The 16,276-nt window shown below is 40.7% G+C and overlaps 1 protein-coding gene across 77 annotated transcripts in view, besides 2 other annotated features; it reads right to left on the bottom strand.

Annotated features, from left to right (window-relative positions):
- Positions 1,374 to 1,875: an enhancer, noted in NCBI's record as "H3K4me1 hESC enhancer chr10:35503415-35503916 (GRCh37/hg19 assembly coordinates)". NCBI's record gives its function as "activates a minimal SCP1, AML or CMV promoter by ChIP-STARR-seq in naive H9 embryonic stem cells {active_cell/tissue: H9 hESC(naive)}" and the evidence as "EXISTENCE:reporter gene assay evidence [ECO:0000049][PMID:30033119]".
- Positions 3,404 to 16,276, bottom strand: part of CREM (cAMP responsive element modulator) — an 86,113-nt gene continuing 73,240 nt past the window's right edge. For 16 of the 77 annotated variants that reach the window (NM_001394595.1, NM_001394600.1, NM_001394613.1 and 13 more), the window contains 2 exons: positions 9,311 to 9,467; positions 3,409 to 4,706 (listed from right to left, as the gene is read on the bottom strand). In NM_001394595.1, the coding sequence (NP_001381524.1) occupies positions 4,559 to 4,706; positions 9,311 to 9,467 (305 nt within the window). In that variant the 3' untranslated portion in view covers positions 3,409 to 4,558. Of the gene's footprint in view, positions 7,051 to 9,310; positions 9,468 to 14,875; positions 14,912 to 16,276 lie in introns of all 77 variants that reach the window. The other 61 variants (NM_183011.2, NM_183012.2, NM_001394618.1 and 58 more) reach the window with 10 other exon arrangements.
- Positions 4,516 to 5,075: an enhancer, noted in NCBI's record as "NANOG-H3K27ac hESC enhancer chr10:35500215-35500774 (GRCh37/hg19 assembly coordinates)". NCBI's record gives its function as "activates a minimal SCP1, AML or CMV promoter by ChIP-STARR-seq in naive H9 embryonic stem cells {active_cell/tissue: H9 hESC(naive)}" and the evidence as "EXISTENCE:reporter gene assay evidence [ECO:0000049][PMID:30033119]".

Genomic DNA, 16,276 nt, shown 5'->3' with positions numbered 1-16,276 from the left:
GGTCCCAAAGCTGCCCTGTCTCCTCCTGGACTTCTTACAAATGCAGCCTCACTTATTGACTTGAAGGAGTGAATGAACATGCTGACTCCCATGTTGCTTTCTGGAAACTCCGCATCACATGGCCCTGAAGATGGGACAACTTAAGGATACAGACAACATGATCAATGAATCATGTATGTATCGTAGCTGGGACTACAGGTGTGCACCACCATGCTTGGCTAATTTGCTTAATTTTTTTTTTTTTTTTTTTGTGGAGACAGAGTCCCACCATGTTGTCCAGGCTGGTCTTTAATTCTTAGCTTCAGGCAATCCTCCTGCCCCAGCCTCCTAAGGTGCTGGGATTACAGGTGTGAGCCACCATGCCCAGCCAAGAAAATGGATTTATATAGAAAAAACCTTCCCACAAAGCATAAAGATTAAAATATACCATGCTTGAGTAGTTCAGAATCAAGTCTGTGTCTTTAAGATGACCTTAGAAAAGATGAATCATGGCCAGCGTGGTTGCTCACGCCTGTAATCCCAGCACTTTGGGAGGCCGAGGTGGGTGGATCACCTGAGGTCAGGAGTTCAAGACCAGCCTGGGCAACATGGCAAAACCCTGTTTCTACTAAAAATACAAAAATTAGATGGGCGTAGTGGCACACACCTGTAATCCCAGCTACTCGGGAGGCTGAGGCAGGACAATCACTTGAACCCAGAGGGCAGAGGCTGCAGTGAGCCAAGATCGTGCCACTGCACTCCAGCCTGGCACATCTAAACTTCTGAGAACCATGGTATACTACCATACGACAGTCATTGCATTACAGCCAGCCAACTGGCAACAGCTCTGCCTGCCTCACACGTCAAAGCGGCCTAATTATTTTTGGTGTAGACTAGAACAATCAAGTTGGTTTCACAAGTCATGATATTTTTTAAAGGTGTACTGTTAGGCACATGGGAAATAGCATGTTTTGGACGTAAGTTTCTTCATATGAAGAAAACTGAGAAGTGTGGTTGAACAAGGAATGAGGCATCTGGCACTCAAACAGCTGCCGTTCATGCACAGTATGTTGCTGATGTCCATGTTCTCAGTTTCAGGCATGCCTCATGGTCACACGTTTAAATACTAGCAGGAGTTCATTTTCTTAATGTTCCCATCTCACATGACTTAGTGTTATGAAGTACCTAGTTACACAGGACAGAGAAGGTATGCAGTCCCCTAACCTTGGAGCAGGAATTTCTATACCCAGCAGTCCAGATGAAACTTTTAGGGTTCAAAGAAAGACACACGCAGTGAGAACTCGATCCCACACGCACAGGTGCGCGGGGAGCTCCAGATCCCACACGCACGGGTGTGAGGAGCGCTGTGGATCCCACACGCCCGGGTGTGGGGAGAGCTGTGGATCCCACGCGCACGGGTGTGCGGGGAGCTCCGGATCCCACGCGCACGGGTGTGGGAGCGCTGTGGATCCCACGCGCAAGGGTGTGCGAGATGTGCAACGTTCCCCCCTGCAAAGCTTCCCCTACTGCAGGTTCTGTTGAGGGAGAGGTCGTAGGCAGTATCTGCTGTAAGGCTGAAAGCACTGCTGTCAAATCGTGCTATTTTGGTAGCAGAAGCTTGGCTTCAGGGATACATTTCATGAGCAAGAATAAGAGTTCCCATGCAGGTCTGGGAGCATGGCTCAAGCCCCAGCCTGTCACAAGCTGTTCCTCACTTCTTGTACAGGGTAAGTGCTCAGTCCCAGTGCCAGACGTCCCCAGTGTCTACAAGCCACTCTTCCAGAAGCCCAGTTTTATTCGACATTGATGGCCATATGCTTCCCCAAAGCCTGGAAGATCCTCAACCCTAGGGGCTGAATCCTCATGAGCAACCCAGTGCCTTTCAGCCCAGTCTTTGGGCTGGGAGGTGGAGCTTGCAGTGAGCCGAGATCACACCACTGCACCCCAGCCTGGGCAACAGAGTGAGACTCCGTCTCAAAAAAACAACAAAAAACAAAGAAAAAAGCAGTATCCCCCCAAAAAGGGTGCTGTCTTTTCCATTTCTGATGCCTGGGACTGTGGCAGCAATATTAAGGTCGGGGAACCAGCAGGTAGAGGGAAAAGAATGAGGAGGAAGGATCTGGTCGTGATGCCATCGTTGTCACTAAATTAGCAAGCCTGGGATTTCTTACCACTAGACTTCTTGTTTTGCAAGGTAGTGTATTTCCTTATTGTTTAAACCACTGGGTTTGGGAAGGGGGGCTTCTGTTGCTGGTGGTCCCAAGTAATTGGATAGTCCCTTTCCTCTAAAATAATATAACCTATTTTGCAGACTAGAGTACACACAGGCATGCGCACACATTGCTTCTGTCTTCCCCTGATTTTTAAATGAAACTAGCTCTTGGGTGAGAACTCACTTGGCCTCCCTCTGTCCTCCAGACCCAAGCTCCTTGGAGCAGTGTGTGTGCTCTGTATTCCCGAAGTACCCACCCCACGCCCCAGCACTGTCAATCACTTCAAGGCCCAGTTCAAAATCCACTTCCCACATAAAGTCTCCTGTTTAACCCCCAGCTGCATCTTTCTAGAATTCTAACATGTAGCGTGCATCGTCTCCAACTTTGTACATCTTGCCTGCTGATCCTCGTGTCCCCTCTGTGTGTCCACCCACCCCAGCCACACCACTGGCGCACAGCAACTGACTGGGCAGATGAGTGAATGCAAGGTCCTACTGTCCTGCACCTGAAACCTGGAGTTTTCCTTTCCTTTTTCTTCCTTGACTTCTTTCCTCATCTTCTCTGTAGAAGAGAAGACAAAAATTGAGATAAAAGAAATTTAGGCCGGGTGCGGTGGCTCGCACCTGTAATCCCAGCACTTTGGGAGGCCAAGGCAGGTGGATTACTTGAGGCCAGGAGTTCGAGCCTAGCCTGGCCAACATGGTGAAACCTCATCTCTACTAAAAATAGAAAAATCAGCTGGGTGTAGTGGTGTACGCCTGTAATCTCAGCTACTCGGGAGGCTGAGGCAGAAGAATTGTTTGAACCCGGGAGGCGGAGGTTGTGGTGAGTTGAGATCACGCCACTGCACTCCAGCCTGAGTGACAAACCAAGACTCTGTCTTAAAAGAAAAAAAGAAAAAAGAAATTCAGAGCTCCGACTCTGAAGGAAGAATAAATATTTTTAAAGAAAGCCAACAATGACATGCCCTACTTACTGGGAGTGACAGATAAGGGAAAGAATTCCAGTGGTACAGGGAAAGCAGCAGCTGGATGCTCCGCAAACCAGCTCCCAATTTTCTGTCTCCCACCACACACTGATCAGATCCACTCTTGAAACTGGGGGGTGGGGCAGGGACATCCTTAAAGCAGAAGTCACAGCAGGAAACACAGCAGAGTCCACCACGCGGCAGACAATCAAGAAACGTCAGGGAATGAGGGGACACAGCATCCTGTGGTGAGGGCTTTGGGCTTGTTCCCTGAAGCTTTTTATTATAAAAACAAGATGAAACATAGATCACATTGCAGTCTCGATTGTAATGAACCTCAGCTGAATGTGCCGACAGCGGAGTATCTGATCTAATGTGGACTTTGAAGCATTTTGAAATGAAAAAATCTTGGGATGTTTTTGTTTTTAAAATTCCTGTGGTTGTTCGCTAAATGGCAAAATAGGGGGCCACCAGCCGGACAGCTCCAGACCACCTACAGAAAGAAAGTCTCAGGCCATTATGAAGGCCGAAACGCTAACAGCCATCTTCTTCTGGGTGCACAGCCCTGCGGCCATCCCCACCGTGAGATGGTAGAAAGGGCGCGTGCAAGGATCAGCACCCAGTGTAGAAACTGACTTGTACCCCGAAGGTATGCAATGCGATCCCAACAGGCTCATTCCAGATATAAAAAATATGTCATCACTTTCATTAGGTAATATTAAACCAACACTAAGAACTTCTGCAAGATCTTTTATATTACACAGTAGAGTTAAAAACTGTAGTAAATGTTCAGATATTTAAATGAGCACCAAACACTACAAAGTGCAACCAACATGGTTCTATTAAAAACTCTCTTTGACTATGGCATTCAAGGACAGCAATACAATCTTTTTTTTTTTAACAAAGCAACTAATATAAAAATCTGCAAATGCCATATATTCATATCTAGGCTATTCTTCTCATATAGGCATGTCATTAGATAGACTTTCTTTCTATTCTTTCCTGAGGTATTTTTTTGTGGTTTACTTTTATTGTACTGCTGGATGCATTATTTTTGATCATCCTTTCCTAAAATGATTTAAAGACCTGCAAATAATTTTATTGCATAGGACACTATTGATGACACATAGAATGGGAGCTGCAAGTATGTGGCATTGGAACAAGCCTTACAAATATTGCATTTTAAGAATACACACATTTTTTACAGTTTGTCTCTTTTAAAAAATTTGAAGTTATAGCTACGACTTAACTACGTACAGTGAAGCATTTTAGGAATGTTAAGTGATTAAAGAAGAAGATGAATGATACAAAGAAAAGAAGCCACCATTCTTGCCAGCTATATATTGTATTCCTTCAAAAGCAACTATACATGCTGCCTTCAGTTCATAGTTAAATATTTCTAGTAATCTGTTTTGGGAGAACAAATGTCTTTCAAGGTTTCAAGTTCCTCTATAAGCTTCTTGTTCTGGACTTCCAGCACTGCAACTCGGCTCTCCAGACATTTTACATATTCTTTCTTTCGACGTCGACATTCTTTGGCAGCTTCCCTGAAAAAAAGCAGAAGCAAAGGGCAAACAAAGCATTTTTTGCATGCTATTGACAAACAGATCAAAGTAAGCTCGGTAAGTGTGATCACGGCTGCATTCCACATCCTGGAACAACATTCCCAATTCAATTTCAAACACTAATCCAAACTGGATTCTTAAGGGTCACACGTGTCCTTCCCACAAGTCCACATGGCAATAAGTAGGACTGCTGCATCTCCTGCCTTGATTAGAGTAAACAAGGTCCAAGTCAAAGACAGTTACTCTACTTTATGGCAATAAAGATCTTTGAGGGCCTTGAGTTCCTCAATGAGAGTCTTGTTTTGGTTTTCAAGCACAGCCACACGATTTTCAAGACATTTGACATATTCTTTCTTCTTCCTGCGACACTCCCGGGCAGCTTCCCTGGAAGCAACACAAGGCAAATGACTACAGGAACAGCCTTCCAACACAATCCACAGTGGGTCAGTGCACTTCTGCCCCCCGAACTCAACAGCCAATCGATCCTAGGTAAGGACTGTACAAAGCCACATAACAAACATAACCAGGCACATGCTTTTTGTAAGATAACCATTAGACAACAGGAATGATTTGAGAACACAGTTCGCCCAGCATTCATCACAAATGGTGTTTTCTTAGGGCACACATTCCACTGGTAACAATGCCCACAACTGTTTTCAGTAAACTACAATAGGACCACATCCCCAAGTGGAATTTCTACAAACACATTTATAGATCCTTTCAATTCTCTTAATTATTTTTGTCTCCCAAAAGGCACATACTCCGACATAATGAGTTAATTTTATTCGATCAAAAATGATTATAAGAATTAATCCTCAAAAACCTTAAATATCAACACTGGAGATTTTTAGTCTTCAAAACTAAATCTCAGTAAAACAAGATCAATCATGACTGCAAGACACAGTTTATTGGCTAGAAAACACACATGGATAAATCATAACAATAAACAAAAGATGTGCATTTTTATAAACCGAAATGAAATGGACAGTGCTTCTGAAAATTAAAGAAGGGGGCTACAAAATACAACACTCAATAACTCAGACAATTTAAACCCACAAATGTGAGACCACCACAATTAAAATTATAAAAAAGAAGCTACTGAGTAACTCTGGGCATATTTCAAGACTGTTTCCTAATCACATGCATTTAATATCCAATATATTGAATTTTAAAGCACTATAAGCCCAAAATGAAAGAACAGACCAGTAGCCAAAGCAACAACACAAACAGATGAGTTGACTTAGTCATTTTCATACATAACCCCACCAAAACAATAAATAGAGCCAACATTTTCTCTTTTTCTTTTTTTCAGGGTGGGAGGGATGGCAACCACTTCCCTTAACTCCTATGTAGAAGACACCCTTTAATTGGCCTCATTTTGGAGGATTCAATTCCAGAATAACTGCCTTTGAGGTAGATCACCCTTCATGTCAAAAAAGCCTGCACTGAAACAGACACTATCATTCAAATATGTTAAAAAAAGCAGTGTTGAATGTCTAAACACCAGTTTCTGTAATGCCAGCTAGCATCCTGAACCACATGTGATGTATACATGATTTTTTTTTTTTTTTTAAGATAGCTGACTCTCACTGAGTGGATATCTGTGTTTTCACTATGGAAGCAAGAGTCAGCAAAGAAGAACCTTCAATCCAAATGAACTGCAGGAAAAGATCAACCCCTGCTTCCTAGCCAGGAACAATGGACTCACCCTGTGAACATACAAAGTTCTCAGACTTCTCAGCTGGTTAACAAAAGAAATTTAAAATGTAAAATTGAAAAGAATGTTATAGTGACTAATTTAATCTAAATGATGCAATTGGAAAAGTTAAGAATAAATCCAAACACACACATTTGCCAATTTGGGGACATAATTTAACTCTTTTCCACAAAGGCACTGAAATTCATTTATGAATACCAACGTTTTCATGATTAAATTATATTAAATTCTAGACCTAGAAGGAAGATAGTCATTTTACAAAACATGGTTACCATTAAATGAAAAATTTAAAGACCTAATAGCGGTGTTGCGGGTGTTTAAACATTTTCTTTAATAAGCTATTATAAATACTCATACTTCATCTTCTACATTTGAGTGTGCATGTGTGTGTGTGCATGCACAGACACACATATTACTAGAGTCAAAATGTTGCAGGCACAAAGCTTTCCCCGATCACATCAGTAGATGGTACATTCCTAAGCACTCCTCAGCCATGGAAAACACCTGTTTCTTCTATTAATAGTGAGCTCGGTTTTCAGGCTTGCATGTGTCTGGGTGTATCCTCAGCACGGAGAGGAAGTGCAAGGCAAGGAAGAAACTCTGACAAGGCTGGAAAGAAATAAAAACTGTTGCTGGATTGGCAGAAATACGATATAATGAGATATCGATTATAGATGCCAATCAAAGAATAAAAAGAAAATATGTAAGAGATCTATCTGTGAATGACTAAAGCCTCACACTTCCCCAGGAAGTGAAATTTGCAGGTTATCATGGGGTATTTTTGAGATGCCTGATGCTGGTATAGAGGACAGGCTCTGGAATAAAGACTGCCCGGTTGCCCATCCTGGTTCTGCCCAGTTTGGGCCATGTGATCTTGACCAACTTATTCCTTAACATCTCTGAACTTCTGGTCCTCATCTGTAAACTGGGCATAATAATCACCTATTCTCATGTAAGCATTAAACACACAGTAGAAATAAAGCACTTAAAATCTGCTAAACAGATAATGAGCAACCTAACAGCCAGGTATCATCTGCATTTCTCTTGTCTTGCTCTGAAACTGAGATTTAGAAAGCGAAAATAAACCTTTCTCAGAATCCTGTACAGCTAGGGACTAAAGACCTATTTCTAGCCAATGAAATGTAGGTGAAAGTTGCTGGGAGGATCTTCCAGGAAAGGTTTGCAGTTGGGCCAGACCTCAGCTAGCCCCAATTTTTGGCTCTAGCCCTTCTTCCTGTCTGAGGCAATGCCTAGAGGTTCAGTAGCCGCGCTGTGATCATGAGAATGAATGATACATGCTGAAGATGACACAGCCGGGAGCGGGAGTCTGGGCCCTTGATAACACTGCTGAATCTCTGTCCTGGCTGCACACAATGAGGACATTATTTGACATTAGGACTAAGGTGACAAGACTACTGGGAAACTCTAAGACAATTCTGTTCCTTTTGAAAATCAGATTAATTTGCACCATTATTCATAATAAAAACTAAACCAATAAATAATATACAAGTTAAATAAAATTTTATTTATGTTTAAATTTTTAAAAAGTTTTAGAAAATAGCATTTTATAATATGTTGCTTAAAAATAAAATGACAGAGATATGGAGCAAGAAAAAGTGAGAGAAAATGAGAGCTGACTGGAAGTACATAGACTATAATAGGAGGTATCCTAAGTGGTTAGAGCCATGGATGATTTTAATTCTTTTTGTTATTTTGTATTTGCACTTGACTAGAATTTATCAGATTAAATATGTATTTCAGTGTAATAGAGGAAAAAAAGTTAAAAAATAGACAAAAGGAAACTACATGTAGAAAATGTCGAAAAGTAACGCCTCACTTACACTTCATTTTTCTCAGAGAGAAGCTAAAAAATTCGACTTATCACCTACTTCACAGCAAATACTAAATACAAAATAGCTCTTTGTTTCTAACAAAGTCCTTTAATCATTATTTTTAAAAATTACTGTATCTTTTGGACATCACCCTTACAACATAGGGATGTAACTCCTGCTGATGAAATAGTTTAACAGCCAGGAATTCTGACTGGAAGACAATCTAATAACACACACAGAGCACAAACCTACATGAAATGCCACACAACATGTAACTTGGGAGAAATGGCTTATGAAAACTGTAATTTTTTTTTTTTAAGACGGAGTCTCACTGTCACCCAGGCTGCAGTCCAGTGGCGCGACCTCAGCTCACTGCAAGCTCCGCCTTCCGGGTTCAAGTGATTCTCTTGCCTCAGCCTCCCGAGTAGCTGGGATTACAGGTGCACACCACCACACCCAGCTAATTTTTGTATTTTTAGTAGAGACAGGGTTTCGTCATATTGGCCAGGATGGTCTCAATCTCTTGACCTTGTGATCTGCCCGCCTTGACCTCCCAAAGTGCTGGGATTACAGGCGGGAGCCACTGCGCCCAGCTGAAAACTGTAATTTTTATTTTTATTTTTATTTATTGATATTATTTTTATCATTATTTTATTATCATTTATTAATATTTAATATTGTTTTATTATTTTTTTGAGATGGAGTCTCGCTCTGTCGCCCAGGCTGGAGTGCAGTGGCACGATCTTGGCTCACTGCAACCTCCGCCTCCCAGGTTCATGCCATTGTCCTGCCTCAGCCTCCCAAGTGGCTGGGACTACAGGCACCTGCCACCACGCCCGGCGAATTTTTTTGTATTTTTTAGTAGAGATGGGGTTTCACCGTGTTAGCCAGGATGGTCTTGATCTCCTGACCCTGTGATCCGCCTGCCTTGGCCTCCCAAAGTGCTGGGATTACAGGCGTGAGCCACTGCGCCCGGTGAAAACTGTAATTTTTAAAAAGTGTCCTAGAAGTTACCGATTCCCTGTGCAACACCTCACCTGTTTTTCATTAGCCTCAGCTCTCGTTTGCGTGTTGCTTCTTCTGCCAGCTGCTGGGGACTGTGCAAACTTCCGGGCGATGCAGCCATCACCACTCCCTGTGGCAAAGCAGCAGTAGGAGCTCGGATCTGGTAAGTTGGCATGTCACCAGTGGCAGCTGCAGTAAAACAAAATATTTTGAGCTTATATAAAGAATTCATAATTTGGCATTTTACATAAAACTGATCTGGAAATGATATACTTTTGACATCTCATAAGAGGTGATCTTGTAATGTTTAAGATAATTATTCTGAGCATTATAGCAATCTCAAGTATTAAAGATCTTCTTCAGCACTTAGAACAATGATATTTAGCATGCTCTAAACACTTAAGGTAGAAAAGCATCCTAATGCATTTTAGACAGGTTTTTATCAAAGGCAAAAGCTTAAGATGCTCATTTAGCTTAAAGTCAGTGGTGTGCTAATAAATATTTAAGAAACAGTCCTCAGGACAAAACAATGAAAAAGCCCTGATGTGTAGTGTTCAGTAATTCTCACGATGTAAATACTTCCACCATGGCCAGTTTCAAGCTACCAAGGTGACTTTCCTGAGCGTAGAGTTGGAAAGACACACACGTGGTAAGCAGCACAGCATACAGACAAAACAGATGCCAATACCCACAGAGCACAGAGAAAATACTTGGAAATTATGAGTTTTGAGTACTAATGTTTTTAATGTGTAAATTGTGTATGTGTATGTATATATGCATATATATATGCATGTATATATATACATATTTATACACACACATATTTTTTTTTTTTTGAGACGGAGTCTCGCTCTGTCGCCCAGGCTGGAGTGCAGTGGCGCGATCTTGGCTCACTGCAAGCTCCGCCTCCTGGGTTCATGCCATTCTCCTGCCTCAGCCTCCCGAGTAGCTGGGACTACAGGCGCCTGCCACCACGCCTGGCTAATTTTTTGTATTTTTAGTAGAGACGGGGTTTCACCGTGTTAGCCAGGATGGTCTCAATCTCCTGACCTCGTGATCCTCCCACCTTGGCCTCCCAAAGTGCTGGGATTACAGGTGTGAGCCATCGCGCCTGGCTTTTTTTTTTAGACAGAGTCTCACTAAGTGGCTCCAGGCTGGAGTGCAGTGGTGTAATCTTGGCTCACTGTAACCTCCACCTCCCCAGTTCAAGCGATTCTTGTACCTCAGCCTCCCAAGTAGCTGGGATTACAGGCGTGCACCACGACACCTGGCTAATTTTGTATTTTTAGTAGAGATGGTGTTTTGCCATGTTGGCCAGGCTGGTCTTGAACTCCTGACCTCAAGTGATCTGCCTGCCTCAACCTCGCAAAGTGTTGGGATTACAGGCGTGAGCCACCACGCCCGGCCTGAAAATTTAATAATAGGCTCTAGCAAGCCAGGAGGAGCTGACTGTAGCACACCACTGCAAAAATTTCCATTAAGCAGAATATCTCCATCCTCTGAATGTTTCAGTTTAGAGATTTTCCTATACTCCATATCATGCCTGAAACAGTCACTGAATGTCTTTAAGTGCAATTCTCATTACTAGAAAATCACTGAAGCACTGGAAGGAATTGAGCTCACTGCAGTTTCAGTAAAAAAAACAAAAAACAACAATAAAAACCCAGCAAAGCTCTGCTTAAACCTAGTTTCTCTGGGGAAAGATAATTTTTCTTTCTTAGGTTTCTAGGAAAATAATACATTTGTAAATATTCATTTAAAAGTATTGTCTAAGCATAGTATAATCATACAGTTAAAATACAGCGTTTAATATTTACTTAGTATTCAGATCAAATACTAAAAGTAAGTTCTCAAAGTTTCCTAATTTATATTCAAAATTTGTCTACTGCAAGAAACATAGCTTCCTAGAAAAGACAGATGGATTCGAGTGATAAAACATTTCTACCACCAACGCTTCAACATTGAGAACGTATGGTCCAGAGTTAGTTTGTCACTCTGATGAGACATTACAAAATACATGCTCTCTCAAAGCTAAGTGCAAGAAAAAAGATTTTTTAAAAAGTTATCAAATTCTATAACAATTGCCTGAACTAAATTCCAATCAAAAGAGGAAAACACAGCATTTCTGTATTTCATGAAAATGTATTATACCCAATGAATAAGAAGTGAAATGCTACCCATGGGAGACAAATACTTTGTCAGCTAAATAGGATATTATCACTGAAACTTTGTTTAAAAAAGTTAAACAAAGATTAACTGATTTATGTGCTTCTATTTGGGTATATGCCAGATTTCTGCCTTCTAAGGCTTGAGAATTAGGTGAAAGAATACAACAGTTAAAAACATGGCTTTCAAGGAAGCTCACTTAAAGATTTTCATAGAATTAATAAAAATATTGTTTATAAGGTTGTACTGCCTTTTCCTTCTACATGTAATTTTAAAACATTGGTGATAGGGAATAATTGATTTTTTTTTTTTTTTTTTTTTGAGACGTAGTTTTGCTGACACCAGGCTGGAGCGCACTGGTGCAATCTTGGCTTACTGCAACCTTCTACTCCCTGGTTCAAGTGATTCTCTTGCCTCAGCCTCCCGAGTAGCTGGGATTACAGGCACGCGCCATCATGCCCAGCTAATTTTTGTATTTTTAGTAGAAACAGGGTTTCACCATGTTGCCCAGGATGGTCTTGATCTCCCGACCTCGTGATCTGCCTGCCTTGGCCTCCCAAAGTGCTGAGATTACAGGCGTGAGCCACTGTGCCTGGCCTAATTGTGATTAATGATCACCAGCATATGAATAAACTTGGGAAAAGTCCTAAATTTGTTTTTGTGACTATACAAAATAATGTATACACAGACAACTCAATGAGTCGTACAAAACTGTATAGCTTTGAGATAGTTAACAAGGTCACGTTAAGCCAGTTATAAACTAACTTAATAGATTGTTTAACATATCTTCATCGTATTGTCAGAAGAGATGGAGTGGAGCAGAGAATAACATAGCTCTCCTCTTTTTTCTCTTCACCCACATCCAGGGAAGAAGGTTATGGGGTAATAAAGGCTGAAACAATAGAACAGCTGGTGGTCACCTAGGTCTTCTAAAATTGGAACAATAGCCAGTGACGAATGAGAAGTTTACATGACACCAGGTTGACACATGCAGGCAGCATGGATATGGACCTTGGTCTAGGATCATTCTTTCCAAACACTGCTCACACAGACGTGTAGTAAAATTAATGGGTAGAGAGGGGCTCATTACACTCTAGTTCTGTAGACGTTTGCTGTTTTCTTGTAATATGAAGTTAGAGCAGGATGGTTCCATGATATATACAAAAGCTAGTTTAAAAAAAAACAAAAAACAAAAAAAAAAACTTTTTACTTTTTATTTTTATTTTGAGACAGAGTCTCACGCTGCCACCCAGGATAGAGTGCAGTGGCACAATCTCGGCTCACTGCAACCTCCGCCTCGCAGGTTGAAGCCATTCTCCTGCCTCAGCCTTCCAAGTTGCTGGGATTACAGACGCCCACCACCGCTCCCAGCTAATTTTTGTATGTTTAGTAGAGATGAGATTTCACCATTCTGGCCAGGCTGGTCTCGAACTCCTAACCTCGTGATCTACCTGCCTCAGCCTCCCAAAGTGCTGGGATCACAGGCGTGAGCCACTGCGCCCGGCCACAAAAAACTTGTTTTTTTAAAAAAAGGGTGGGTGGGAATAGTCACAGGTGAACAATGAAGTTCAAGGGCAGACATGGTGGCTCACGCCTATAATCCCAGCATTTTGGAAGGCCAAGGTAGGAGGTTCACTTGAGTCCAGGAGTTCAAGACCAGCCTGGGCAACATGGAGAAACCTGATCTCTACAAGACATACAAAAATTAACCAGGTGTGGTGGCGTGCGTCTGTGGTTCCAGAGCCTTAGGTGGGAAGATCATGTGAGCCCAGGAGGTTGAGGCTACAGTGAGCCGTTATTATGCTACTGCACTCCAGCCTGAGCGACAGAGTAAGACCCTGTCTCAGGAAAAAAAAAAAGGAAAAAAGCAAAAAAAGACGTTCATTCATTGGCCTTGTATTTATCAGAAATGCTTCCAAACAACTCTTGCCTGTTTCCAGAAGCAACAACCACCCTCAAGGGACCAAATTTGGCACCATGAAAGATAATGGCAGTTCCAAAATAAGAATTCTTAAAAACATTTTGAGCGATAGCTCAGAAAAAAATACCACTTTAAAATAACTTGGAAGGGGATGATATATTCAGATGTATTAGTTCTGAGATGTTAGGTGACTGGGTTTTATTATAATTTTTCAGAGGTATCATATATTCATTTTACTTCCCTCAATAAAATCAAAATGACAAGCGCATTAGTTCAAGCCAGAAACAGGAGTTAGTATAAATTAGTAGGAATTTGTATAAATTTCTATAATATCCCAAAGGATCTATATGGTGGTATACTTCTAATGGTCGATGGACAAATTCCATATACTCAAATATAATCTTATTAGTAAAGTACATTTAAAAAGATATGGGCAAAGACAGCTGTGCACAGTGGCTCATGCCTGTAATCTCAGCTCCTTCAGAGGCTGAGGCATGAGGATCACTTGAGCCCAGGAGTTCAAGTCCAGCCTGGGCAACATAGCAAGACCTTGTCTCTTAAAAAAATAAAGATACAAAGATAATCTCTTGTTTTGAGAAAATCTAAATGTCACAAGTTTTAATTTTAAAACAAGTTATAAAAAGTATTTATCTTAGTTAGCTTCAAATTTCCAATATTATGAACTCAGTGGAAATTTAAAGCAGATAAGACACCAAGGATCACAGTTCAAAGACCATCCTGCATTCTCTGATGACACACTGCTATTCCTGTATTCTTATAAAGGCCACTTCCTGTCCCATTTAACTACTGAAAGTGTCTAAATTACTTTTTATTCTAGAATTTTCATATTTTGAAAATATATGGGTTATCAGTGGGGAATTAACAATCATGATTGAAGAAAGATTATAAGATATTTGTACACTAACTTTATTCTCAGGAAAGCAAAAACTTTAAGACAAATCAGGGATAGTATCTTTTTAACCCCAGAAACCCCTAGAATCTAGCACATACTTGGCATATAATGGGTGTTTCATGAGTTAATGTGTGCTGTATGAAGTAAAATTTGAACTTCCTCGGGTTTTGCACAAGCCTGCTGTCATTTAGAATGCTTAAAATAAGCAGTCTTTCTTATAAACTTACATTATTATAGCTAAACCTTTACCTCTAAGACATGGAAAGCCCTACAAGATGCGATGTGTCTCTTCAAAGTGGCCTTTCTTGATAAAAGGCATTATTTCTTAAATTTTCCTTAGATGCACTTTAGATAAGTCTAACATAGCATTTTAAAAGCAAAGGCGTTCTCATTATGATGTGCTTCCATCTAGCTCCTGACATGAAAGCATTTTTTTTTTTTTAGGTTCAGTATCAAATATTTCATGGGAAAAGAAAATTCCTAGAACTCTCAATTTTGGTCATTAACTACATATCTCTCTTTGCAAGCTTTAAACACGGTACAGCAGAAAAAGCATGGGGTTTGGAGTCTGGGTTCTAGTCCAGCTCTGCCACTTACCAGCCATGTGACTTGGGGCAAGTTCAGTTTCCTCATCTGTAAAATGGGGATACAGTATCTCATTTAATACTCACAATAAACCCTACAATGTATGTCAAAGTGTCTAGCACAGTGCCTGGCACATGGCAGGCACTCCACAAATGTTAGTTCCCTTCCTCTTCCCCTCCTTAAGTTCTGAAAGACAACGTTCCAAGTTATGCTTATACCGTATATTAGTTAAAACGCATATAACATCCATAAATACATTTCCCCCTGGAGTTTCCCTTCTGACAAACCCAGGGAATCCAAATTTATGGCTCTTATTCCTTATTTTGTTAAAAAATATGCCTATTAAAAACTTATAAAATTATATATCGTTATATTCCTTTAGAGAATACATTAAAGATAATGTAAGATATCCTTTTCAATGTATGCAATCATTTATAATAGAACCCCAAATGGCCAAAGATATACTCTCATCAGACTGGGAAGAAGAAAACTGAAAAAAAAACCCACAAGTGAGAGTAGGAAACAAAGAAATAAATAAGAAACCCAGCCAAGTACCTATGTTGGTAACTTCCAAAGTGAAACGATTTCTCAACACCCCAAATGATGGTGATTTTATTCAATTGTTTATTAAGATATCTGTAGTACTGAGCACAAAGACTGAATAAAAAACATTTTTATATAGAGAGTTCCTGTTTTCATATGCCATTTCACAGCATGGCACTAATCCTAAATACACCTTTAAGTAAGCAGCAGAGGTTAACTTAGATGTCACACTTCTAAGTGGGGGGCTTCTATCCCTAGCTCTGGTAAGCTGCTGACATCACCACCACTGCTGTGGTTCTCTTCCTGTCTACCACCACCTGCTCCTAATACCCAGATCCTACACCTCCATGCCTGGTATCCCACACTGCCAAAAACGTTCCCTTCTCTGTGAAAATTAAACCCTACATAAAAATGGCTATTTAAGCACTGATCATTTTCAAATTTGCTACAATCACTATAACACATAGACCACATAGAATTAACTCACCAAAATATTTTCAGCTTTGAGGTATAATTGACAAAAACTGTATATACTCAAAGTGTATAATGTGATGCTTTCACATATGCATACATTATGAAATTATTACAATCCAGCTAAGTAAGTTATACATAAGGGACCTTTTAAAGTTCAGTATGTGAAAATCTATAAGTCAGTCTATATAAAAGATGGGAAATTACGAACACTGAAATTTAATGTTCCATATAATAGCAAATATATGCTCTACTGTCCTATGAGAGTAATAATAATCTATAAAAAATTCAATTTTAGGCTGGGTGTGGTGGCTCATGCCTGTAATCCCAGCACTTTGGGAGGCTGAGGCGGGTGGATCGCTTGAGGTCAGGAGTTCGAGACCAGCCTGACCAAATGGT

The sequence above is a fragment of the Homo sapiens genome, chromosome 10 (assembly GCF_000001405.40).
Source record: "Homo sapiens chromosome 10, GRCh38.p14 Primary Assembly".
NCBI lineage: Eukaryota > Metazoa > Chordata > Mammalia > Primates > Hominidae > Homo > Homo sapiens.
This window is presented reverse-complemented; position numbering and strand designations above follow the sequence as displayed.